This window comes from Homo sapiens, chromosome 16, assembly GCF_000001405.40.
Source record: "Homo sapiens chromosome 16, GRCh38.p14 Primary Assembly".
In the NCBI taxonomy this organism is placed as follows: Eukaryota; Metazoa; Chordata; class Mammalia; order Primates; family Hominidae; genus Homo; species Homo sapiens.
In genome coordinates this window covers 72,053,270-72,079,454 of record NC_000016.10, presented here as the reverse complement: position 1 = coordinate 72,079,454, position 26,185 = coordinate 72,053,270, and the positions used below count along the sequence as shown (strand labels likewise).

General features: G+C 45.3%; 2 protein-coding genes across 6 annotated transcripts; both read right to left on the bottom strand.

The window, feature by feature from the left end:
* HPR (haptoglobin-related protein) lies at positions 2,209 to 16,229 on the bottom strand. Of its 3 annotated transcripts, NM_001384360.1 has the most exons (6): positions 16,195 to 16,229; positions 14,461 to 14,698; positions 5,478 to 5,563; positions 5,070 to 5,171; positions 4,236 to 4,310; positions 2,210 to 3,152 (listed from the first exon to the last, which is right to left on the bottom strand). In NM_001384360.1, the coding sequence occupies exon 6, from the start codon at positions 3,058 to 3,060 to the stop codon at positions 2,374 to 2,376; it is 687 nt and encodes a 228-aa protein (NP_001371289.1). In that variant the 5' UTR covers positions 3,061 to 3,152; positions 4,236 to 4,310; positions 5,070 to 5,171; positions 5,478 to 5,563; positions 14,461 to 14,698; positions 16,195 to 16,229; the 3' UTR covers positions 2,210 to 2,373. The 3 variants fall into 3 exon arrangements, with proteins under 3 accessions (NP_066275.3, XP_024306019.1, NP_001371289.1); NM_020995.4 differs by lacking the exon at positions 14,461 to 14,698 and having other exon boundaries at positions 2,209 to 3,152; XM_024450251.2 differs by lacking the exons at positions 14,461 to 14,698; positions 16,195 to 16,229 and adding an exon at positions 6,162 to 6,207 and having other exon boundaries at positions 2,209 to 3,152.
* HP (haptoglobin) lies at positions 18,400 to 24,950 on the bottom strand. Of its 3 annotated transcripts, NM_005143.5 has the most exons (7): positions 24,798 to 24,950; positions 23,212 to 23,294; positions 22,824 to 22,925; positions 21,989 to 22,063; positions 21,100 to 21,201; positions 20,267 to 20,341; positions 18,400 to 19,343 (listed from the first exon to the last, which is right to left on the bottom strand). In NM_005143.5, exons 1-7 carry the CDS (start codon positions 24,800 to 24,802, stop codon positions 18,565 to 18,567), a joined length of 1,221 nt encoding a protein of 406 aa, NP_005134.1. In that variant the 5' UTR covers positions 24,803 to 24,950; the 3' UTR covers positions 18,400 to 18,564. The 3 variants fall into 3 exon arrangements, with proteins under 3 accessions (NP_005134.1, NP_001305067.1, NP_001119574.1); NM_001318138.2 differs by lacking the exons at positions 20,267 to 20,341; positions 21,100 to 21,201; NM_001126102.3 differs by lacking the exons at positions 21,100 to 21,201; positions 21,989 to 22,063.

Sequence of the window (26,185 nt, the reverse complement as noted above, 5' to 3'; positions counted from 1 at the left end):
CTTTTTGAGACCCGTAACCATTGTTCCCTTAGGAAATTTAGAAAGCTAATTAAAATTGCGGTTACTTGGTCTTTGGTGCCTCTGGAAATGAGCAGGTCATCCACATATTGGAGTAGACATAAGGATGATGAAAGAGGGAAATTCTCTAGGACTTGTTCCAAACTTTGACTAATAGGTTTGGAGAGTCTGTAAACCCTTGGGGTAGAACTGTCCATCACTACTATTGCTTCCAACTGGAATGAGGGTCTTCCCATTCAAAAGCAAATATGTCCCAGCTATCCACAGCTAAGGGGCAAGCCCAGAAGTCATCATTGAGGTCTATTACTGTGAACCACTGGCAGTCATGAGGGATCTTGCTGATAATGGTGTAAGGGTTAGGAATGACAGGGTGGGTGGTCTGGACTATTTGGTTAATGGCTCGAAGGTCTCGCAGTAGCCGCTATGACCCATCCGACTTTTTTACAGGCAATATTGGAGTGTTGTAAGAGGACATATGGGGTTCAAGAAGTCCTTCCTGAAGGAGACCTTCGATTATAAGTTATAAACCTATTCTGCCTTTCAAGGGAATAGGGTACTGTTTTCTCTTTACAACTTCCCCAGGATTTCTTAATTTTACATGGATTGGAGAAACTTGTAATTTTCCCCAATTTCCTTCCTATGACCAAACGTCATCAGAGTGGATTTGGCTCTCCTCTAGGGTGGTAAGTAAGTTTAAGGAAGTAGAGAATTTTCCTTGATTAACGTATAGACCTATACCTAATTTTGTCATTAAGTCCCTCCCCAACAGGTTTGTCCCTGCTTCTGGAATTAACAGGAATTTGATGCTAGCTAATTAGTCCTGATACCTGACTTTGCAGAAGCCCACAGGCTGAGGCCAGGAGGTGGTGCTGGGGAGGAAGGCAGAGAAGATGAGTGATCAAGAGAATGCCAGAACTTTTCTCTTACTGTTGTTTTACCAGAAGCCACTTAATACAATCAGACAATTCTTTAAGAAAACTGCAGAGTGCCTTGTTCTTCCAAGAAACTTGGTGCTGAAGAGATCTAGGAAAATGTGTAAGTGACTGTGTTCTAAGAGGCATTTTTTTAAAGAGTTTGACTGGTGTTTGCCAGTTTCTGGCTATTATCTCTTTCACAGGTTCTAGAATATAGGTCTTATTGGCCTACTAGCGCTAACCTGTTGAAGTTTATTGATGAATCTGCAGGGTGCCTGTGAGGAGAGCTTCACAGAGATGGCCAGACCCTGGTGAGAGAGAGTGACATCAGTGTCATTTTACACCCTGCAAAGGAGGGGCCGTATTTTCGCATGAGAAGAAGGCACATTGGTGATTGGTGGTATTGAAAGCTTATAGCAAGAAAAAGTTCTGTTAGAAGAGCTTCTGTTTCTCAGAGCTCCAGAAGCTTTCTTCTGGGAGACCCTTAATAGCATGACCTGCCATCAGGAGAGGAGGCTCAGACAGCTTGCTTTTGATTCCTGGTGAAGGGTGGGTTTGTTCCAAGTAGGAAAAGCAGCTTCTACTGAGGCAGGGACTCTACCTCCCCACTCTTTACAGAGTCCCAGAAGCTTATTGCTGATAGGGACGTTACCCTGGCTCAAGTCCTTCATGGAAGAGACCAGGAACTAATGGCCAGGAAGCCTAAATTACTTAGCAAATGTTTGGGCCAAGCCATGATTTGGACTCAGCAAGTCCAGAGATCCTGCCTTTACATCATCATCTTTTGTTTTCTGGAGTGCTGGTAGGTTAGATCCCAAACTCTGAAGTACTGTCTGTGTTAAAACACTTTTTCCCCATCCCATTTTGAGCTAGCCTCTTCCTCACCAGGCCCATGCCCTTTCTCCTAATTCGCTTTAAAGAGGCAACAGCATGCAGTGAAAGGACCTCTGAGTTTGTATCAAACAGACCTGGGTTCAAAGTTCTGCTTCCCTGTTTCATAGCTATGTAACCTTAAGCAACTCACTTACCATCTCTGAGTCTCTGTTTCCTTGTCTGTAAAACAAGGACAACAGTTAACTTTCTGGGACCTAGCATTCAATAGGCACTCAATCAGTGAGCATGATTCCCTAAGGTGGAAGAGTTTGTATCACCTTCGGGATTTCCAGTGGGTTTAGGGTGTTTTCTGCCATACTCCCAGTAGACTCTATACCTTCTGACTACCCTGGACCATAAAGGAGCAAATAAAAAAGACTCAAGACTGAACACAACACAGAAATGGGTCAAAAGAAAGCTCTTTATTGATTGACTCAGCAATGCAGGGCTGGCACCCATCAGCTTCAAACCACATCTTATCGCATCCACTCCTGTCCACTCCCGTCCACTTTGCCCTCTTCCAGGCTGAAATCTTGCTTTCAGGCAAGGGCTTCCGGCCAGCCTTGCATTAGTTCTCAGCTATGGTCTTCTGAACCCAGTGCTGGATGGAAGTCACCTTCACATACACACCATACTCAGCCACAGCACAGCTCTTATCAAAGCTTAGGATCCCAGCCGCGTACCAGGTGTCCTCCTCCAGGTCGTGAACGGCAAAGGCACTGCCCGCATCGCCATAGCAGGTGTCTTCCTGGTACTTAGACATGCCGACACAGAAGGTGTGTTCGTTCAGTATGGGCTGCACCCCTACAGGGCTCTTCGGTGCCTTCCATTTGGGGCATGTGCTGCCTTCATAATGCGTTATGCAATCGTATTGGTCAGCCACAGGCAGCATGACATACTTCAGATGGTCAGTAAGTTTAAAGTTGTCACTTTGTCCCCAGCCAGACACGTAACCCACACGCCCTACTTCTGCATAATTCTTTGAAGGTAGGCAGATGGGCATCACTCTCTCATTAACAAGCACCTTCTGTTTGAGTTTGATGAGCCCAATATCTACCTGGTGGTAGTTAGGGTGTAGAACCACCTTCTCAATCTCTACAAGCTGCTTTTTCCCCACATAGAGTGTTAAAGTAGGGGCAATGTCTTTCGCTGTTGCATTTTCTGAATGGTTCAGGAAGAGATTTTTAGCCGTGGTCAGCAGCCATTGTTCATTGATCAGCGTGGCCCCTGTGGTGAGATTATGGTGGGAAACCATCTTAGCCTGCCAGGGAAAGCTGCCTTTGGCATCCAGGTGTCCACCCAGGATCCGCTGCACTGGGTTTGCCGGATTCTTGGGCTTCCCACATACTGTCAAGGAGAGCAAGACACTCGTGAGTGGAAATGTGCAAGAGCCTTTCCATCTGAGAAAGGGGTGAAAGCATTGGCGGCTGTCACTGCTGCATAAACTGGAAAGATTTAAATGCTTTGTCCTTACCACCTGCTGATCTCATTTCCAATAGTTGCAGTTTTAAAATAATTTTTTTAATTGTTTACATTACAAAAAGCTCTATTTCTAAATAAGGAAATGAGAAATACTGAGTTTTTTGAGGCCTGGCTGGTGAACTATATTATATTTAAACAATTATCTCAACAAAGGAATTTTCACAATTCCCTGAAATTCATTGAAAGGGCTAGGGGCCAGATGCGGTGGCTCACGCCTGTAATCCCAGCACTTTGGGAGGCTGAGGCAGTTGGATCACCTGAGGTCAGGAATTAGCACCACTGCACTCCAGCCTAGGCGACGAGAGCAAAACTCTGTCTCAAAAAAAAAAAAAAAGAAAGAAAGAAAAAAGAAAGGGCTAGGAGCTACAATAATTCATCATCTCTGAAGAAAGAGGAATCTAGAGCAGCATTGGCTGGAGCTCATACTTTATAGATGTTGCAGTTAATACGAGGCAGGTTGGTAGTTCCACACCACTCACAGCAGAAGAGGCTGGGCCTTTGCCTCTGGTTCTGAGACGGAAAGGAGAGAGCAACAGTTCCTCCTAATAACGAGAAGCAGGAGTTCCAGCCCATGTCCAGCCTCCTGCTAGGCTTCCATGGATTAAGATTTTATGTTATCCCTTGACTTGTTCTCCCTGGAGCTTGCTTCTCCTTAGACCCAGGGCTCTCTAGCAGGCTCTCTGTATGCACAGGCTCTCCTGATCTGTGGGCAATGCCGACAGTGGATTCAGCCAGTGCCCTTCAGGCCCCAATGAACAAGACCCTGGTGATCCTTAGGGAGTCATCACCTAACTGCTTAAGTCTCTCCCTGGCCAGCTGCGGTTCTCCCACATCCCTCCTCCTGGCTCTTGTGTGCTCAGAGGAAGCCGCACTGGAAGGCTGTGCCTCTAGGACGTTCCCCGCTGGACGCCTGCCTGCTCTCTTAAGTGCTCAGTGCTCAGCACCCACCTGCTTCACATTCAGGAAGTTTATCTCCAACAGCCTTATTTATCCACTGCTTCTTATCATTTAAGGTGTATACTCCTGAAACAAAAGGCAAGAAATGAGCCAAAGGAAAAGTCAAGTCTGCACCCAGAGCAGAGTGAGAAGGCATTTAAGGAGAAGAATTAAAAAGAAGAAGAAGAAAGGAGGCAGACAGGAAGGGAGAAAGGAGAGAGAATACGAGAAGGAGGAAGGGAAAGAGTGCTGTGCTGGAAGCCAAGTGCCTGGACACCAGTTAAGCCCAGCAGAACACACTGTGGTGATGGCGGTCACAGCCAGGCAGTACAGGGAGGGCTCAGGGTTCAAATCCTGACTCTGCCTCTTACAGGCCACCTGAATTTGGGCAAGATACTCAACCTGTCGGTGCCTCTGTTTCCTTATCAGCAAAGTGAGAATAATAACCTCTATTCAGTGGGAAACTGTAAGGACTAAGTGAGCAAATAAATATAAAGCCCTTAGAGCAGTGCCAGGACAGCAAGACTCACTAGGTGAGGGTGACATCATCATCAGCATTCCTTCTTTTCCCACATCTGCTGGAGATGTAAATCTGACTCTGAGATTTACATGAGGTAGGCTGCATGGCATCACCTCCCCTTAACAAAACAGAAAACCTGAGGCTGACAAAAGTTAGTCTGCCCAAAGGGCCATGGCTACTGGCGACAAAACGCTTATCAGAATCTAAATCTCCTGGCTCCAAGGAGAGCAACGAACTTTCTGGCAAATCACCTCAGCACCACCCATCATGGAAATGTCAGAGCAGGGGTTGTAGGTAGAGCACAGAGATAGTTGTCCAGGTCTTACCATCTCCTTCTGTGCGCAGTCTGTAGTAGTTCTTACACTGGTAGCGAAACAAGTGCTCCACATAGCCATTTGCAATCTCAGGGGGCTTCGGGAAGCGGTCATCTGCAAAGAGAGAGAAGCCAGAGAGTTTACCATTTGGAAATTGTTCCCAGAGACCCATGAAAAGTCAGATGAGTGGAAGCTGCTCTGCACATCAATCTCCTTCTACCCCAAATAGAAGCCAACGAAAGCTCAAGCTCCCCTCATTTCTGGCAGGATCCCCAATGTTCTTGGCAGTCCTGAAAGCCCAGAGGTCAGGATAAGAATGGGGAACTGTGTGTTCTCAAAGAAAGAATGCAGACCCGAGAGAGTCAGAGTGGGATGTGGCAGTGCCAGGGATGCATGCTCCTACCCAACTCAAAGACTGACCTGAAATATCCGTGACATCATTGCCTGAGTACAGTGCAAAAAGCTGTCGTCCCCAGAGCAGGAGGGAAATGACAGCTCCCAGGTCACTGCAGAGAGAAAACAAGAAGGAGCGGAAAGCTGGTCTCCCTGCTTCACAGCACATGCATGCATCCACACACACAGGCATGTACACACACACACACACGCACACACACACATGCATACACACACACTCCTCCCACTAAGCAGCCAGAAAAGAAAATCAATATATGGAAGTGCTAGGACCAAGAAGTTGCCCCCACCCTCCGCCCCACATACACGCTTTAGCTGCTTCTGAGCATACCAAGCTTCCAGCAAGCTCTGTCTTGCTGGGAATTCTGCAGAAGCTTCAGAGAGGGATAGAAAGGTACATAGGTATAGGGGCCTCAGTTTCTGGCTGCAGTCAGGAAGGTACATTGGCAATAATTCAGAAGCCCTCCAGGAAAGAGAAACCTCCCTCAGTCACCCCAAAGATACTTCTAATAAAATGTAGATAACTCAAAGATGGGAACAGAGGGCTTAGTATGCTATTCCCTCTACTTCTTGAAATTTTCCATAATCAAAGATTCCTTAAATATATAATTGTTGAAAACAAATGCTTGGTGCTGCAAAGAAGAACTAGCACTGAGACAAAGGACAAAGGGTCTCTCAGCAAGGCAAATTTACTTTTGCATAAGGTTGCTCCTCATAGGTTCGGTTGCCACGAGAGCACCCCGAACAAAGGAAAGCAGAGGTTTTTATGTCTAACGCAGCTTGTCCCTGCTACTGTATCCTGACTCCATTGGCTAGAGTTGGACCGTACAATCTAAGCTGAACCCGGTTGGCTAACTTGAAAAGTGCAGGAATGTGATTACACTGCTGGGAAGGCAGGAAGATCAGTTTTGCCGGGAGAAGCCATTGTGATGGGAGGGGTAATTCACAGAGTGGGTAGCAGATGTGGAATGTGGGCTCTATAGATAACGACTGGCGGGAAGGTTGTTTACCAGCGCAGGGAGAACACAGAGAGTAAGGAAGTCTGGCCTTGAAAGCAGGGAGCAAAGAACAAGGAAACTTAAGCAAGCTGAACCTTTGAAGAAGAATTTCTTACTGTATTTAACAATCCCCCTGTTAAATATTTTACAGTATTTTTTCTTTAAACCCTTTTAACATAATTTGGCTCTGTTATTCTACTTGGGTCTTCTAAAAGAAAAAGCTCACTGGAACGAGGAGGAGGAGGATTGAGGGAGGTTTTGGGGAGAGCTGTTTCAATGAGCTTTTGTATTAATCCTAGGGCACAGGGTATGACACAGCATCCTACAAGAATAAGCAACCCTATTCTGATGGCAAGAGACATGAGGATTGAGGACATAAATCCCTTCCATTTGCCAAAGAATTTCCCATTAAATTTGTGAAGGGGTCGTTTAGTCCAGAATTTTTGGCTAGCTCATTTGATAAGGCAGTAAGACCTTGTAGTGCTTTTGGTGTGATCCCACCTGGAGTAGTATTATTAGGGATAAAAGTATAGCATCGGGTTCCGATAATGACACAATCTCCACCCTCTTTCGCTGGTATCATGTCTAATGCTATTTTATTTTCCCAGGCCATTTGACTGGTGGGTCTTAATTGTTCAGCTGTCCCTTTAAGAGCATCTCTAGTATAATTAACAAATCATAGGCTGGGCACAGTGGCTGATGCCTGTAATCCCAGCACTTTGGGAGGCCGAGGCAGGCAGATAACCTGAGGTCGGGAGTTTGAGACCAGCCTGACCATCATGGAGAAACCCTGTCTCTACTAAAAATACAAAATTAGCCAGGCGTGGTGGCACATGTTTATAATCCCAGCTACTCGGGAGGCCGAGGCAGAAGAATTGCTTGGACCCAGGAGGCAGAAGTTGTGGTGAGCCGAGATCATGCCATTGCATTCCAGCCTGGGCAACAAGAGCAAAACTCCGTCAAAAAAAAAAAAATCATCATTGGTTGTAATAAATGTAGTTTATCTAATTCACATTTTTATTTATAGTTAACCACCAGAAGAACGTGGATTCAAATCCTGCAGTTGTCTGATTTTGGGCCTTAAATTCATCTGGCACTCCTCGTTGGACTCCAGTGGAATCTATATAAATGTGGGAGTCAACAGACCCATGAGGGGCCTCTCTTGTTTTACAGTGTTTGGTTTCTGTCTTTTCTGGTTGATGAAATGCCAGGGTGAAAGGGATAGCCAATGGAATTAGAGTGCATGTTCTGCTCCAGTTACTCGGCAGTGTCCAGTAATGGTCCACCACAATACCACCATACATCCGCTCGAGGATGACTAAGGGCAGACTGATGGGTAAGCTCTTGGAAGGACTTAAGCTCACTGCATCCCATTAAGGCTCCAAGGAACACCAAGTTTTCTCCCTGTTGTGAGAGACACAAAGTAAAATTGGCATTGGGAAACGGAAGCTGATGGCCCTCGGGGGCTGACCCTCAGGGTGTTGAGCTTCAGGGAACAGCAGAGAAAGAGCTTGACATGATTTGTCACCCCAGGCTGTGTGATCTTGGAAGAGAACTACCATACAGCTTATGCCCGGTCAGTTAGAAGACCATCTGAGTGGAAAGGGGACAATCTGGGCCTCTGGTCTACCGTGAGCACAAGCATAACATTCATATTTGTTTAAAGTGCAGATGGAATATTTAATCCATTTTAGCCAAGCATTTGCATCTTGACATCCTGTCTCTAGGGCTATAGTCTGCTTTAAATTTTTTACCTTTACAACCGTTACTTTAGTTGGGTTGTTTTGGAGATGGGAGGAGGACGCTGAGCTCGCTATACTTGGAGAGAGTGTTAGATTCCACTCGTTTCCCAGACTCTGGGTGTGGATTTTTTTTTAATTATCATTGTTAACCAGTGGTTGAAGATTTTTATGGGATTTTGTTTTGTAACATTTGCTCCTAATCCATACTGTTTGAATATAGTGGGTTCTTGGGCCATTGTTTGGGGGTTAGCTATAATTAGCAATGAGGGGTTACACTGCAGTGGCTTACAGTTTGGTGGGGTGGGACCATGAATTAGTTGGAGTTTCTGTTTTAGTCCCCATAACTTATTTGAAAAAGGGGGCCTGGCTGTCCACCCTCCATACTGAGTGGTTTCCAAACATCTGTCCAGTCACCACAGGGACTTTTTAAGGTTCTATACTTATACTTGGTTGACTTTTTATGGTATGGACATAGGTACTTATCTACATGAGACAGCTTCCTTTGAGCTTGCTTGTCTCCACACAGGATGACTGAACAAGCATCAAACTGAAGGATTAAAGGATGGTTAGCCCAAGTTACATTGATGACAAGATGACCTTCTGTTGGAAAGAAAAGAAAAAATAAACAAGTGATTATTAAGCCCTTTTTAGAGTTAATTTGGTTGGGGTGAGCCCTGGAGTGACGGTTTATGATCCTGGAGGTGGCAGCGCCTTTTTGACGCGGGTGTGATCAGTCCATCCTCATTCTGCTGTTCGGACTGCAGTCTTAGTATTTAGGAGCACCAAGTAGGGTCCTTCCCAAGCTGGTTTGAGTTTGCCTTCCTTCCACCCTTTTATGAGGACATGGTCTCCAGGCTGACGCTAATGTGCTGGAAACTCCAGCGGTGGCGCCTGTGCTAGGAGACCTTTAGTCTTAAGGGAAGAGAAAGTAGAGTATGGACCAAGTATATAATTTTTGAGGAACTGATCTTTTATTTTGAATGTAGGAATGTTAGCAGTGGAGTATAAATAGGGCAATCCATAGAGCATCTCATAAGGGGAAAGGCCAGTATCTCTCTGAGGAGCAGTTCGGATTCTTAACAAGGCAATAGGAAGACATTTAGTCCATGGCAATCAAGTTTCTAGAACTAATTTAGTTAAGTGGCTTTTTAGAGTCTGATTCATCCTTTCTACTCTTCTTGAGGAGGAGAGATGCCAAGGGATATGGTTTTTCCATTTTATGTCTAGTACCTGGGCTAACTTTTTAATGACATATGCAGTGAAATGGGTTCCATTGTCTGAATCAGTGCTTTGTATTAGTCCAAATCTGGGTACAATGTTTTCAATTAATGCCTTAACTACGTTACTGGTGGTTGCATTTGAGTGTGGGATAGTCTCTACCCAGTAGGTAAAGTGGTCTATTATTACTAATAAGTATTTTAAATGACCAATTGGGGGCATTTCAGTATAATTAATTGAACACTTGGAAATGGTCTTAGCCCTGAATCTCTTTCTCCAAGGGGCGGTTTTCTTAGAATCTGCTTACTAGTCTTTTTACATATTAAGCAACTATCTGTAACTTGTTTGGCTAGGGTGTAAATTCTTATACATCCATAGACCCTGAGAACTGCATCGCACATGGCTTGGGATCCCCAGTGTGTCCTCAGATATAGTTGAGACTAGATCTTCCACATAACGGGCTTGGATAACATTTCCTTTTGGTCTAGTAACAGCCGTTTTCATTCTGGTCTTCTCCTTTGGCTCCTATCTTTATTCTTCTTTTTCAATGGAAGAGAAAAAGGAAATTGCAGTAGGGGAAGGAAGACAAGGAGTTAAGTGAAACATAGGTGTTTCGGAGGAAACAGCAGCTTGTTTGGCTATCTGGTTTGTTAGGTTATTTCCTCGACTTTCAAAAGAAAGGCTTTTCTGGTGCCCGGGTACACGGACAATAGCTATTTCTTCTGGCAACTGAAGGTTATCCAGTACTTGGATGATTAACTCCTTATGAACAAGGTCATGACCTTTACTATTAGTGAGGCCACATTCAGTCCAACTTTTTCCAAATGTATGAGCCACTCCAAAGGCATACTTAGAATCAGTATAGATGGTTCCTTCCTGGTTTTGCAAGTGCTTTAAGGCTTGGCTGAGTGCAAACAGTTCACAAGTTTGGGCAGACCAATTATTAGGCAATTTTCTTGACTCTGTTCTTATACATAGAGAATTTCTCCATCGATTACTGGATACCCGTTGTGTCTTTTTCCCTCAATCAGCTGGGAGGAACCATCTATAAATAAGTGCCGTCCTGTTTTGAAAGGGATCTTTCCTAGATCTGGCCTGAGTTTTGTTTGGTAGTCAATTAAATCTAGACATAGGTGTTCTCTCATCTTTTTTTAGTAGAATAGCCCCATATTTTAAGATTCTGGAGTCAGTTAGTCACCTTCCTGCTTTTTTATTTAAAATAGCTCTCTAACTTGGTGGGGTGTGCTTACTGTTAATCTCCACCCAAAGGTTAATTTTCTACTCTCTTCAACTAATACTGCTGTAGCTGCAATGGATTGGATGCACTGAGGCCATCCACAGGTGACCAGGTCCAAAATTTTTGACAGGAAGGCCATGGGCTGCCAGCAGCCTCTGTGCTCTTGGATAAGCACCCCTAAAGCCACCCCATTTTTCACGCTGACGAAAAGGTGAAGTGTATTTTCTAGGGAAGGTAAGGCTAGGGCAAGAGCAGTTATAAGCTATTCCTTTTAGCTCTTTGACCTGATCGACCTCTTTAGAAGTCCACAGGAGATGCTCAGGTTTTCCCTGGGCAAGTTTTTGGTATAAAAGTTTACTGTTTAGGGCATGTGAGTTAATCCTTAAGCGGCAGTATCCAACTAACCCTAAAAATTTCCTGAGTTCCTGTTTAGTCTGAGGCAAGGGTAAGGACACGATTCCTTCGACCCATTCAGGCCCTATCCTTCGCTTGCCCGCACTTATTAAGCGGCCTAAATATTTAACTTTAGGCTCCATACACTGAAGCTTTCCCTTTGAGACCCGTAACCCCTCGAACTGTAGATGGTCAAAAATATGTGTAGAGAAGCCAGCTTCTTTCTCTATATCCTCACCAGATATGAGAATATCATCGACATATTGAAGCAGGCATAATTGTTTTGGAACAGAAACTTTGTCTAGCACTTGTTCTAAAATTTGACCAAAAAGGTTGGGTGAATCCATGAACCCCTGAGGCAAGACTGTCCATTGATACCATTGTTTTCACCCTAACTGGGGATCTTCCCACTCAAAGGCAAATGTGTCTCGGCTCTCTTCAGCCAGGGACATGCCCAAAAAGCATCCTTTAAATCTATTACAGTAAACCATTGATGATTATATGGAATTTTGCTGAGAATGGTGTAAGGGTTGGGGACAACAGGGTTAGTGGTCTGGACTGTTTGGTTAATGGCTCTGAGGTCTTTCACCAGCCGGTATGACCCATCTGATTTTTTGACAGGCAGTATTGGGGTGTTATAAGGAGACATACAGGGTTCAAGAAGCCCATCATTAATGAGACTTTCAATTATAGGTTTTAGCCCTAGCATGCCCTCTAAGGGAATGGGGAATTGCTTCCTCCTCACTACTTCCCAGTGCGGGGTGTTTAGCTTGATGTGGATTGGGAGAATTCGAAGCTTTCCTCAGTTTTCTTCCCTTGACCAAACATCAGGATGAATGTATTTCTCATCCGCCGTGGTGAGTAAGTTTAATGAAGTAAGGAATCCCTTTGGGCTGACTTGTAGGCCTATGCCTAACTTTAACATTAAGTCTCTTCCTAACAAACTAGTTGCTGCTTCAGGGATTAACAAAAATTGAACCTGGGTTGTTTAGTCTTGGTACTTGACTTCTGTATTTTCTAAGATTCTCACCGTAAATCCTTCCCCTTTTATCTCAGAGACTATAAGTTCTTCTGAAGAGCAGGCAACATTAGATGAGGGGAAACAAACAGAGGAACAGGCCGCTCCTGAATCAACCAAAAATGTGATAAGCTCATGTGTAGGTCCCACCTCCAAATTTATCAAGGGCTCCTGGTGGGACTCAAGATAATATAGACAGAGCCCCTGACTTCCCTGTTCCTCTTCAAAGGTCGTGAGTGGAAGGGCTTCTCTCTCCTTTTCTAATTTGGGACATTCTCTTTTGAAGGGGGCTGTCCTTCCACATTTGTAACACTTATCTTGTCCTTCCCCTCTCTCAGTTTTGGGATTTTTTGGTCTTGCTTTTCTATGCTCTTTAGGGGGCCTGGGAAATGTAGACTTGGGTCCTCTAGCTGAAGGTTTGGTTTCTCTAAACTGGGTTTGGGAGGCTTGGGACCTTTTATAGTTTCTGGCTCCCTGGAAGCCTCATTTAGTAGCATATGGGTTTGGAGCCACCTGCTGGAAAGTAGATAACATTGGTTTTGACTTCTGTTTTTGTTTTTCCCTGTCCCTCCTCACATACACCTTTTGAGCTTCTCTGAGAAGTTCTCTTAGAGGTCGGTTTTCTCAGTCCTCCAATTTTTGTAACTTTTTTGAAACATCTGGCCAGCCTTTAGTGACAAAATGGATCTTTAACATCCTTTGCCCAAGGGGATCTTCTAAATTCAGACCTGTATATTGCTTCATTTGCTCCTTTAGTCTGTCTAGGAATCTTATAGGTCCCTCATCTTTCTCCTGTTGTATATCAAATGCTTTAGAGAGCTTTTGAGTTCTGGGTATGGATTCACTGATTCCTTTTATTATTATTTCCCTTAGGTCCTGCATGTTTTCTCAGTGGGCTGCATTGCTGTTGTCCCACCAGGAGTCTTGCTTGGGCAGCAAATGTTTGGTCCACAGTAGGAACGTTTTGACCAGGAGGGTGTTCATGTTCCCAAATTGCCATAGCAGCCCTACGGATCATGCTTCTTTCCTCCCCTGAAAAGAAGATGCCTAGGATAGACATTTGCTCGACCCAAGTGTATAACTGAGGTCCTAAGAATTGATCAACTTGATCTGCCACTCCATAGGGGTCATCTAGCAGTGGCTTAAGTTCTTTCTTCAGACCTCAGACTTCTGAAATAGTCAAGAGAGCATTTACAAAACCAATGACTTCCCCTCCTTGTGATACCCCTTTTAAAGGGAAGAAAGTTATGGCTGACTCCTTAGGTGTGGAAAGAAAAGGGGAGTTCTGAATGTCCTTTTTACACTGCTCTATTTCATGTTGGAGCCCTTTTAAGGAAGGATATTTAGGTTGGCAATGAACAGGCTCTTGGGACGACTGCCCCTGAGAGTCAGGGTTGTAAGCGGGAGGAACATCATGAGTTGGGGAAGAATCTGGGATGGGATCTGGGGCAGCAGCAGCTGCCTGAGGAGTAGGGGGGTTAGGATTGGGGCAGTAAGCAAAGGAAGACAGTCTAGGGGATCCCATGTGCTGACTTTAGGTGTGGGAGTCGGCTTGTCTGACTTCTCAATTTGAGATGCTGGATCGGATTCTTCCCTAGTTGTCTTTAAGGGAAAGAGGAGGACAGGTCCCTGCTTCCAACAAAGAGCATAGTCTAGTTCTTCTTGAGAAACCAGACTTTTATCATTAACATATTGGATTAGGAGTTGACTCATTACACCCTCATTCGACCCATACTTTGGCCAGAAGATTGAGGGTTTGAGGATGGGACCTTGGGTCCAAATGAAACAGCAATATTTTATCATTTGCTCCTTCTTCTTATGCTTAGTCCTCTCATTATCTTTCCAGTATTTTAACATGAAACCTAGGGGACTATCAAGGGGTATATCCTTGTTACTATTTTCATCCTTCTTATTCTCTGTCTTTCTTGGGGTATTTCCCATATTGGGTCTTAGCTAGGCTCAATCCCTCATATTAGGGATTTGTTGCCTGCTGGAGGCTTGCTGTGGCTCAGTTCCTCATATTAGGAATTTCTTTTTTATCTGTCTGGAGCTTTCTGTGGCTCAATCCCTCGTATTAGAGATTTCTTGCCTATCTTTTAGCCCCACCTCCTGGAGGTTCTTCACACTCTTCTCCTTTTGCTTCATCCACTCTGGCCACTTTCCTCCTAGGAATATTTTAAGTCCCGCTTAGCATTGGGAGGACTATATAAACCCCAACATCAGGATCCTTCAGAGAAGGCTAAGCCGTATGAGGTAACCATAGACCCACAGATTGGACTCATTCACTCCACACAGCAGTAGCACTTGTTACCATTCATGAACTTTCAGCCACCAGAATATAGTGACCACCAAGGAAGTACTTTGTCACTCCTGCGACATTTCTTACCTTGGTCTGCGCACAGAGTTACCTGGCCACCATAGTGTTGCAAGTCTTTTTCTCCCCACGTTGTTGAGAGTCTGGGGTTATTCATCAGACCAGGTGGGTCTCGATTCCTTACTCATGAGGCCACTGCAACAAGGCAGTGGGATGTGTCTCCTCACAAGAGGTGATCAAAGACCCTTTCCCGGAGGACAATGTTTTCCCTGTATGGGCCACCAAATTTGTTGGAAACAAATGCTCGGTGCTGCAAAGAAGAACCAACACTGAGCCAAAGGACAAAGGGTCTCTCAGCAAGGCAAATTTACTTTTGCAGAATAGAGCTCCTGGTAAGTCTGGTTGCCACGAGAGCACCCTAAACAAAGGAAAGCAGAGGTTTTTATGTCTAACGCAGCTTGTCCCTGCTACTGTGTCCTGACTCCATTGGCTGGAGTTGGACTGCACAATCCGAACCCGGTTGGCTAACTTGCAAAGTGCAGGAATGTGGTTGCACTGGTGGGAAGGCGGGAAGATCAGTTTTGGTGGGAGAGGCTATTGCGACGGGAGAGGTAAATCACAGAGTGGGTAGCAGATGTGGAATGTGGGCTGTATGGGTAAGGACTGGCAGGAAGGTTGTTTACCAGGGTAGGGGAAACACAGAGAGTAAGGAAGTCTGGCCTTGAAAGCAGGAAACAAAGGACAAGGAAACTTAAGCAGGCTAAACTTTTGAAGAAGAATTTCTTACTGTATTTAACAATAATTTTAAACACTTATGTGGTTATTTCTAGTATTTTGTGATAATTCACCTTTAGGAAATGGTATCTCAAACCCCAAAATGCCAGAAGGTTACCTGGAAGAGAACTGGTGTCTGAAAGCAGGACGGTGGCCATGGGCATTGACACACAGGCGCCATCTGCCAGTTCACCATCTCGCTAACAGACGCCCACCATTCAGGCACTATTTGCTTCTATTAAAATAGTTTCTAGGCAGGGTGCGGTGGCTCACACCTGTAATCCCAACACTTTGGGAGGCCGAGACAGGTGGATCACGAGGTCAAGAGATCGAGATCATCCGGGCCAACATGGTGAACCACATCGCTACTAAAAATACAAAAATTAGCTGGGCGTGGTGGCACACGCCTGTAGTCCTAGCTACTTGGGAGGCTGAGGCAGGAGAATTGCTTGAACCGGGGAGGGGGAGGTTGCGATGAGCTGAGATCGCGCCACTCACTCCATCCTGGTGACAGAGTGAGACTCTGTCTCACAAAAAAAAAAGTTTCTAGTCTTATTATTTCAACATTTCAAAAAGTCTTTTTATTTTTTAAGATCTAAGTGTCTTAATTAGATGTATCCCAGGTACTAGTGTGTATCCCAAGTACTAGTCAATTAATTGTGTCATTCAAATGTGTTACTATTAGTCTTTCTTATTATACATTTTTAAAGAGGAAAATATCTGCTAGTAAATATATTCCGAATGCCAGGAAGCCTACCACGGGAGCTGATGACATACCCTACAAAGACAAAAACGTAACCTCAAGGAAAAAGACACTCCTGAGAGTAAATCTTATCTCCTGGGAAAGACAGCAGCACTGTCTTCTATGGATGCAGAAAAGGAGAAGATTTAACACACTAAGCCCTTTGGTTCACTATAATTTAGCCCATTTGCCCTGTTTCTTTGTTCTATTTCTGCATCTGTACCAATGTATGCAAAAAAGACTGAAATAAAGAACCAGAGGAAAGGCAGGAGGGAAAGCTGTGGACCCACCTCATCTTGGTTGGTCTTGCCTCTGGAAGAGCAGTGCTGTGGGGCATCTGCTGGTCTTTTTATGCTGCCACTAGCTCACTTCTCCCCCTTCTCCATTTCGTAATTCCTGTGTCTACAAACTTTGGACCTGGTAAGGTCTCTATCTTTTCCAGTAACAAAACTCCAAACATTGCCCCTGTTAAGAGTTGAGCTCTTGCTTCACACTTGATTTTCCCGTGGTGTTCTTTTTTGTTTTTTGTTTTTTTTGAGACAGAGTTTCACTCCTGTTGCCCAGGCTGGAGTACAATGGCATGATCTCAGCTCACCACAACTTCTACCTCCGAGGTTCAAGCAATTCTCCTGCCTCAGCCTCCCGAGTAGCTGGGATTACAGGCATATATCACCATGCCTGGCTAATTTTTTGTATTTTTAGTAGAGACGAGGTTTCTCCATGTTGCTCTGGCTGATCTCAAACTCCCACCCTCAAGTGATCCACCCGCCTTAGCCTCCCAAAGTGTTGAGATTACAGGTGTGAGCCATCACGCCCAGCCCCCTCGTGAGGGCTTTTGATCGTCTTTCTCTCACATCTTGATTTGTATTTTTGATCCTATCTTAGTTTCTTTCCATTCCACAAGTATTTGTTAAGTGCCTGCTGTATGCCCCATCCTATGCTCACAGCTACGTAAGTACAGATGGCTCCTTAGAGGAGGCAGTGCCTGCATGTTGAAGGCGGGTAGGAGGTGCTAATACAGCAAGGGGAAGGGAATTTCAGCAGAGGGCCCCCGAGGAAATAAAGCCCAAGAACTGGAGACGGCCGGGCTTGTCAGAGAGCAACATGGAGTTTGGTGTTGCTGAAGCCCACAGGCTGAGGCCAGGAGATGTTGCTAGGGAGGAAGGCAGAGAAGATGAGTGATCAAGAGAATGCCAGAGCTTTTCTCTTACCATTATTTTACCAGAAGCCACTTACTTAATACAATCAGACAATTCTTTAAGAAAACTGGGGAGTAGCTTGTTCTTCCAGGAAACTTGGTGCTGAAGAGAACTACCAGAGGAAAAGGTGTAAGTGACTGTGTTCTGAGAGGCATTTTTTTAAGAGTTTGACTGTTATTTTCCAGTTTCTGGCTATTACTTCTTTCACAGGTTCTAGAATATAAGTGTGCATCTTATTGGCCTACTGGCGCTAACCTGTTGAAGTTTATTGATGAATCTGCAGGGTGCCTGTGAGGAGAGCTTCACAGAGATGGCCAGACCTTGGTGAGAGAGAGTGACATCAGTGTCGTTTTACACCCTACAAAGGAGGGGCCGTATTTTGGCATGAGAAGAAGGTGCACTGGTGATTGGTGGTATTGAAAGCTTATAGCAAGAAAAAGTTCTGTTAGAAGAGCTTCTGTTTCTCAGAGTTCCAGAACCTTTCTTCTGGGAGACCCTTAATAGCATGACCTGCCATCAGGAGAGGAGGCTCAGACAGCCTGCATTTGATTCCTGGTGCAGGGTGGGTTTGTTCCCAGTAGGAAAAGCAGCTTCTACTGATGCAGGGACTCTACCTCCCCACTCTTTATGGAATACCAGAAGGTTATTGCTGATAGGGACATTAGCCATCGCCTGGCTCAAGTCCTTCATGGAAGAGACCAGGAACTGATGGCCAGGAAACCTAAATTACTTAGCAAATTTATGGGCCATTCTGTGATTTGGACTCAGTAAGTCCAGAGATCCTGCCTTTACATCATTGTCTTTTGTTTTCTGGAGTGCTGGTAGGTTAGATCCCAAACTCTGAAGTACTGTCTGTGTTAAAACACTTTTTCCCCATCCCATTTTGAGCTAGCCTCTTCCTCAACCAGGCCCATGCCTTTTCTCCTAATTCACTTTGAGGAGGCAACAGCATGCAGTGAAAGGACCTCTGAGTTTGTATCAAACAGACCTGGGTTCAAAGTTCTGCTTCCCTGTTTCATAGCTATGTAACCTTAAGCAACTCACTTACCATCTCTGAGTCTCTGTTTCCTTGTCTGTAAAACAAGGACAACAGTTAACTTTCTGGGACCTAGCATTCAATAGGCACTCAATCAGTGAGCATGATTCCCTAAGGTGGAAGAGTTTGTATCACCTTCGGGATTTCCAGTGGGTTTAGGGTGTTTTCTGCCATACTCCCAGTAGACTCTATACCTTCTGACTACCCTGGACCATAAAGGAGCAAATAAAAAAGACTCAAGACTGAACACAACACAGAAATGGGTCAAAAGAAAGCTCTTTATTGATTGACTCAGCAATGCAGGGCTGGCACCCATCAGCTTCAAACCACATCTTATCGCATCCACTCCTGTCCACTCCCGTCCACTTTGCCCTCTTCCAGGCTGAAATCTTGCTTTCAGGCAAGGGCTTCCGGCCAGCCTTGCATTAGTTCTCAGCTATGGTCTTCTGAACCCAGTCCTGGATGGAAGTCACCTTCACATACACACCATACTCAGCCACAGCACAGCTCTTATCAAAGCTTAAGATCCCAGTCGCATACCAGGTGTCCTCCTCCAGGTCGTGAACGGCAAAGGCACTGCCCGCATCGCCATAGCAGGTGTCTTCTTGGTACTTAGACATGCCAGCACAGAAGGTGTGTTCATTCAGTATGGGCTGCACCCCTACAGGGCTCTTCGGTGTCTTCTTTTCGGGGACTGTGCTGCCTTCATAATGCCTTATGCATTGGTCTTGGTCAGCCACAGGCAGCATGACATACTTCAGATGGTCAGTAAATTTAAAATTGGCATTTCGCCCCCAGCCAGAAACATAACCCACACGCCCTACTTCTGCATAATCCTTTGAAGGTAGGCAGATGGGCATCACTCTCTCATTAACAGACACCTTCTGTTTGAGTTTGATGAGCCCAATATCTACCTGGGAGTAGTTAGGGTGTAGAACAACCTTCTCAATCTCTACAAGCTGCTTTTTCCCCACATAGAGTGTTAAAGTAGGGGCAATGTCTTTCGCTGTTGCATTTTCTGAATGGTTCAGGAAGAGATTTTTAGCCGTGGTCAGCAGCCATTGTTCATTGATCAGCGTGGCACCTGTGGTGAGATTATGGTGGGAAACCATCTTAGCCTGCCAGGGAAAGCTGCCTTTGGCATCCAGGTGTCCACCCAGGATCCGCTGCACTGGGTTTGCCGGATTCTTGGGCTTCCCACATACTGTCAAGGAGAGCAAGACACTCGTGAGTGGAAATGTGCAAGAGCCTTTCCATCTGAGAAAGGGGTGAAAGCATGGGCGGCTGTCACTGCTGCGTAAAGTAGAAAGATTTAAATGCTTTGCCCTTACCACCTGCTGATCTCATTTCCAATAGTTGCAGTTTTAAAATAATTCTGTTTTTTAAATTGTTTACATTACAAAAAGCTCTATTTCCCACTTTTCTAACAAAGGAAGTGGGAAATACTGAGATTTTTGAGCCCTGGCTGGTGAACTGTATTATATTTAAACAATTATCCCAATAAAGGAATTTCCACAATTCCCTGAAATTCATTGAAAGGGCTAGGGGCTACAATAATTCATTCTCTCTAAAGAAAGATGAATCTAGAGCAGCACTGGCTGGAGCTCAGATTTTGTAGATGGTGCAGTTAATACGAGGCAGGTTGGCATTTCCACACCAGTAAGAGCAGAAGAGGCTGGGCCTTTGCCTCTTGTTCTGAGAATGAAAGGAGAGAGCAACAGCTCCTCCTAATAACGAGAAGCAGGAGTTCCAGCCCATGTCCAGCCTCCTGCTAGGCTTCCATGGATTAAGATTTTATGTCATTCCTTGACTTGTTCTCCCTGGAGCTTGCTTCTCCTTAGACCCAGGGCTCTCTAGCAGGCTCTCTGTATGCACAGGCTCTCCTAATCTGTGGGCGATGTAGACAATGGATTCAGCCAGTGCCCTTCAGGCCCTAATGAACAAGACCCTTGGTGACCCTTAGGGAGTCATCACCTAACTGCTTAAGTCTCTCCCTGGCCAGCTGCGGTTCTCCCACATCCCTCCTCCTGGCTCTTGTGTGCTCAGAGGAAGCCGCACTGGAAGGCTGTGCCTCTAGGACGTTCCCCGCTGGACGCCTGCCTGCTCTCTTAAGTGCTCAGCACCCACCTGCTTCACATTCAGGAAGTTTATCTCCAACAGCCTTATTTATCCACTGCTTCTCATTGTTTAAGGTGTACACTCCTGAAACAAAAGGCAAGAAGTGAGCCAAAGGAGAAGTCAAGTCTAGACCCCGTGCAGAGTGAGAAGGCATTTAAAGAGAAGAACTAAAAGGAAGAGGAAAAGGGGACAAAAAGGAAGGGGAAAAGGAGAGAGTATATGAGAAGGAGGAAGGGAAAGAGTGCTGTGCTGGAAGCCAAGTGCCTGGATGCCAGTTAAGCCCAGCAGAACACACTGTGGTCATGGCGGTCACAGCCAAGCAGTACAGGGAGGGCTCAGGGTTCAAATCCTGACTCTGCCTCTTACAGGCTGCCTGAATTTGGGCAAGATACTCAACCTGTCTGTGCCTCAGTTTCCTTATCAGCAAAGTGAAAACAATAAACTCTGTTCAGAGGGATACTGTGAGGACTAAGTGAGCAAATAAGTATAAAGCCCTTAGAGCAGTGCCAGGACAGCAAGACTCACTAGGTGAGGGTGACATCATCATCAGCATTCCTTCTTTTCCCACATCTGCTGGAGATGTAAATGTGACTCTGAGATTTACATGAGGTAGGCTGCATGGCATCGCCTCCCCTTAACAAAACAGAAAACTTGAGGCTGACAAAAGTTAGTCTGCCCAAAGGGCCATGGCTACTGGCGACAAAACGCTTATTAGAATCTAAATCTCCTGGCTCCAAGGAGAGCAACGAACTTTCTGGCGAATCACCTCAGCACCACCCATCATGGAAATGTCAGAGAAGGGGGTTGTATGTAGGGCATGGAGACAGTTGTCCACATCTTACCATCTCCTTCTGTGCGCAGTTTGTAGTAGTTCTTACACTGGTAGCGAACCGAGTGCTCCACATAGCCATGTGCAATCTCGGGGGGCTTCGGGCAGCCGTCATCTGCAAAGAGAGAGAAGCCAGAGAGTTTGCTATTTGGAAATTGTTCCCAGTGAACCGTGAAAAGTCAGATGAGCGGGAGCTGCTCTGCACATCAATCTCCTTCCACCCCGAATAGAAGCTCGCGAACTGTATTATTTTTAAACAATTATCCCAATAAAGGAATTTCCACAATTCCCTGAAATTCATTGAAAGGGCTAGGGGCTACAATAATTCATTCTCTCTAAAGAAAGATGAATCTAGAGCAGCACTGGCTGGAGCTCAGATTTTGTAGATGGTGCAGTTAATACGAGGCAGGTTGGCATTTCCACACCAGTAAGAGCAGAAGAGGCTGGGTCTTTGCCTCTGGTTCTGAGAATGAAAGGAGAGAGCAACAGCTCCTCCTAATAACGAGAAGCAGGAGTTCCAGCCCATGTCCAGCCTCCTGCTAGGCTTCCATGGATTAAGATTTTATGTCATTCCTTGACTTGTTCTCCCTGGAGCTTGCTTCTCCTTAGACCCAGGGCTTTCTAGCAGGCTCTCTGTATGCACAGGCTCTCCTGATCTGTGGGCAGTGCCGACAGTGGATTCAGCCAGTGCCCTTCAGGCCCCAATGAACAAGACCCTTGGTGACCCTTAGGGAGTCATCACCTAACTGCTTAAGTCTCTCCCTGGCCAGCTGCGGTTCTCCCACATCCCTCCTCCTGGCTCTTGTGTGCTCAGAGGAAGCCGCACTGGAAGGCTGTGCCTCTAGGACGTTCCCCGCTGGACGCCTGCCTGCTCTCTTAAGTGCTCAGTGCTCAGCACCCACCTGCTTCACATTCAGGAAGTTTATCTCCAACAGCCTTATTTATCCACTGCTTCTTATCATTTAAGGTGTATACTCCTGAAACAAAAGGCAAGAAATGAGCCAAAGGAAAAGTCAAGTCTGCACCCAGAGCAGAGTGAGAAGGCATTTAAGGAGAAGAATTAAAAAGAAGAAGAAGAAAGGAGGCAGACAGGAAGGGAGAAAGGAGAGAGAATATGAGAAGGAGGAAGGGAAAGAGTGCTGTGCTGGAAGCCAAGTGCCTGGACACCAGTTAAGCCCAGCAGAACACACTGTGGTCATGGCGGTCACAGCCAAGCAGTACAGGGAGGGCTCAGGGTTCAAATCCTGACTCTGCCTCTTACAGGCTGCCTGAATTTGGGCAAGATACTCAACCTGTCTGTGCCTCAGTTTCCTTATCAGCAAAGTGAAAACAATAAACTCTGTTCAGAGGGATACTGTGAGGACTAAGTGAGCAAATAAGTATAAAGCCCTTAGAGCAGTGCCAGGACAGCAAGACTCACTAGGTGAGGGTGACATCATCATCAGCATTCCTTCTTTTCCCACATCTGCTGGAGATGTAAATGTGACTCTGAGATTTACATGAGGTAGGCTGCATGGCATCGCCTCCCCTTAACAAAACAGAAAACTTGAGGCTGACAAAAGTTAGTCTGCCCAAAGGGCCATGGCTACTGGCGACAAAACGCTTATTAGAATCTAAATCTCCTGGCTCCAAGGAGAGCAACGAACTTTCTGGCGAATCACCTCAGCACCACCCATCATGGAAATGTCAGAGAAGGGGGTTGTATGTAGGGCATGGAGACAGTTGTCCACATCTTACCATCTCCTTCTGTGCGCAGTTTGTAGTAGTTCTTACACTGGTAGCGAACCGAGTGCTCCACATAGCCATGTGCAATCTCGGGGGGCTTCGGGCAGCCGTCATCTGCAAAGAGAGAGAAGCCAGAGAGTTTGCTATTTGGAAATTGTTCCCAGTGAACCGTGAAAAGTCAGATGAGCGGGAGCTGCTCTGCACATCAATCTCCTTCCACCCCGAATAGAAGCCAATGGAAAGGCAAGCTCCCCTCATTTCTGGCAGGAACCCCAATGTTCTTTATGGTCCTGAAAGCCCAGAGGTCGAGATAAGAAGGGGGAATTGGGTGTTCTCAGAGAGAGTGCAGACCCGAGAGGGTCAGAGTGGGATGCACACTCCTACCCAACCAAAGACTGACCTGCGATATCCGTGACATCATTGCCTGAGTCCACTGCAAAAAGCTGTCCCCAGAGCAGGAGGGCAATGACAGCTCCCAGGGCACTGCAGAGAGAAGACAAGGAGGAGTGGAAAGCTAGTCTCCCTGCTTCACAGCACATGCATGCATCCACACACACATGCATGTACACACACACACACACACATGCATACACACACACTCCTCCCACTTAGCAGCCAGAAAAGAAAGTCGATATATGGAAGTGCTAGGACCAAGAAATTGCCCCCACACCTGCCCATACACACTTTAGCAGCTTCTGAGCATACCAAGCTTCCAGCAAGCCCTGTCCTGCTGGGAATTCTGCAGAAGCTTCAGAGAGGGATAGAAAGGCACATAGGTGGAGGGGTGGGCTCAGTTTCTGGCTGCATTCAGGAAAGTACATTGGCAATAATACAGGAGCCCTCCAGGAAAGAGAAACCTCCCTCAGACACCGCAAAGATAGTGGTAATAAAATGTAGATAACTCAGAGATGGGAACTTTGGGCTTACTGTGCTATTCCTCTACTTCTTGATATTTTCCGTAATAAAAGGTTCCTTAAATATATAATTTTAAACACGTGGGTATTTCTAGTATTTTATAATAATTCACCTTTAGGAAATGGTATCTGAAACCCCAAAATGCCAGAAGGTTACCTGGAAGAGAACTGGTGTCCAAAAGCAGGACGGTGGCCATGGGCATTGACCCACAGGTGCCGTCTGCCAGTTCACCATCTCACTAACAAATGCCAACCATTCGGGCACTACTTGCTTCTATTAAAATAGTTTCTAGGCCAGACACGGTGGCTCATGCCTGTAATCCCAGCACTTTGGGAGGCCAAGGCAGGCAGATCACGAGGTCAAGAGATCGAGGTCATCCTGGCCAACATGGTGAAAGCCCGTCTCTACTAAAAATACAAAAATTAGGTGGGCATAGTGGCGCACGCCTGTAGTCCCAGCTACCTGGGAGGCTGAGGCAGGAGAATCACTTGAACCTGGGAGGTGGAGGTTGCAGTGAGCCGAGATCATGCCACTGCACTGCAGCCTGGTGACAAAGCGAGACTCCATCTCAAAAAAAAAAAAAGTTTCTAGTCTTATTATTTCAACATTTCAAAAAGTGTTTATTTTTATAAGATCTAAGTGCCTTAATTAGATGTATCCCAGGTATTAGTGTGTATCCCAGGTACTAGTCAATTAATTGTGTCATTCAAATGTGTTACTATTAGTCTTCCTTATTGTACATTTTTAAAGAGGAAAATATCTGCTAATAAATATACTCAGGATGCCAGGAAGCCTACCACGGGAGCTGATGACATACCCTATAAAGTCAAAAATGTAACCTGAAGGAAAAAGACACTCCTGAGAGTAAATCTTATCTCCTGGGAAAGACAGCAGCACTGTCTTCTATGGATGCAGAAAAGGAGAAGATTTAACACACTAAGCCCTTTGGTTCACTATAATTTAGCCCATTTGCCCGTTTCTTTGTTCTATTTCTGCATCTCTACCGATGTATGCAAAAAAGACTGAAATAAAGAACCAGAGGAAAGGCAGGAGGGAAAGCTGTGGACCCACCTCATCTTGGTTGGTCTTGCCTCTGGAAGAGCAGTGCTGTGGGGCATCTGCTGGTCTTTTTATGCTGCCACTAGCTCACTTCTCCCCCTTCTCCATTTCGTAATTCCTGTGTCTACAAACTTTGGCCCTGGTAAGGTCACTATCTTTTCCAGTAACAAAACCACAAACAATACCCCTGTTAAGAGTTGAGCTCTTGCTTCACACTTGATTTTCTTGTGATGTTCTATTACAAATCCCAAGAAACCTGGCAACTCTATGACCCACAAACCTGCCAAAGTATTTCCTGAAATCAGCAACTGGGCAGGACAGGGCGGCGGCAGGAACCATCAATCTGTCTCTTTATCTTGGAGGATTTTCACACTGCAGAAAGGCTCATTTTGAGTTTTTTCAAACCCATTGTAGACATTTCTGCAGCCTAGCTTAGGTGGGGCTCTAAAGAAAGTACTTCCTTTTCACAGTAATTTTCTCCACCTTGTGTGTGGCCATCTCCCTATTGCTTAAAAGCTCTCCAGCCTGAAATCAGTAAATGTGTTTATTGTGTCTTCTCTGATTGCTCTTTGCAAGAAATCACACAACTAGTTAAAGCTATAGTGTAGACTGACACAGACTATACTCAATGGCAGTGGTTCTCATGGTTTTATAGTCTGGTGATTAGCCTAAATAGGCAGATGAGAAAAATCAATATGTCTCAGTCAAATGTCTGCACCTGTGTGTATCCCAGGTACTAGTCAACTGAAACTTAGTAGCAACTCAATACAAGGTTGATTTATTCATTAAAAAGGGTTAGTTGTTCTTAAATTAGAGTGTACAAAAGAATTACTTTTGGATAATCATGGTGACACTGATATAATAGCAAAGTAACTAGAAACAAGACAAATGCCCATCAACAGGAGGAAGGGTCAATACTGCATTGTATGTGGATATAATGGAATATTATACAGCATAAAATGAATAAACTCTGCAAGAACATGGATCATCTTATAAACATAATTTTTGAAAGAAAACCGCAAGTTTCAGAAGATTACCTTCAGTATGATGGCAGTCTTCTAGAGATCAAAACCAAGTAAAACTTGGCAATGGATTCTTAGATAATGACACCAAAATCACCAGCAATCAAAGAAAAATTAGATAAATTGGGCTTCATCGGAATGAACATTTGTGTATCAAAAGACAGTATTAATAAAATGAAGACAGGCCAGGCGTGGTGGCTCACGCCTGTAATCCCAGCACTTCGGGAGGCTGAGGTGGGCGGATCATGAGGTCAGGAGTTTGAGACCAGCCTGACCAATGTGGTGAAATTCCATCTCTACTAAAAATACAAAAATTAGCCAGGCATGGTGGCGCATGCTTTAATCCCAGCTACTCGGAGGCTGAGGCAGGAGAATTGC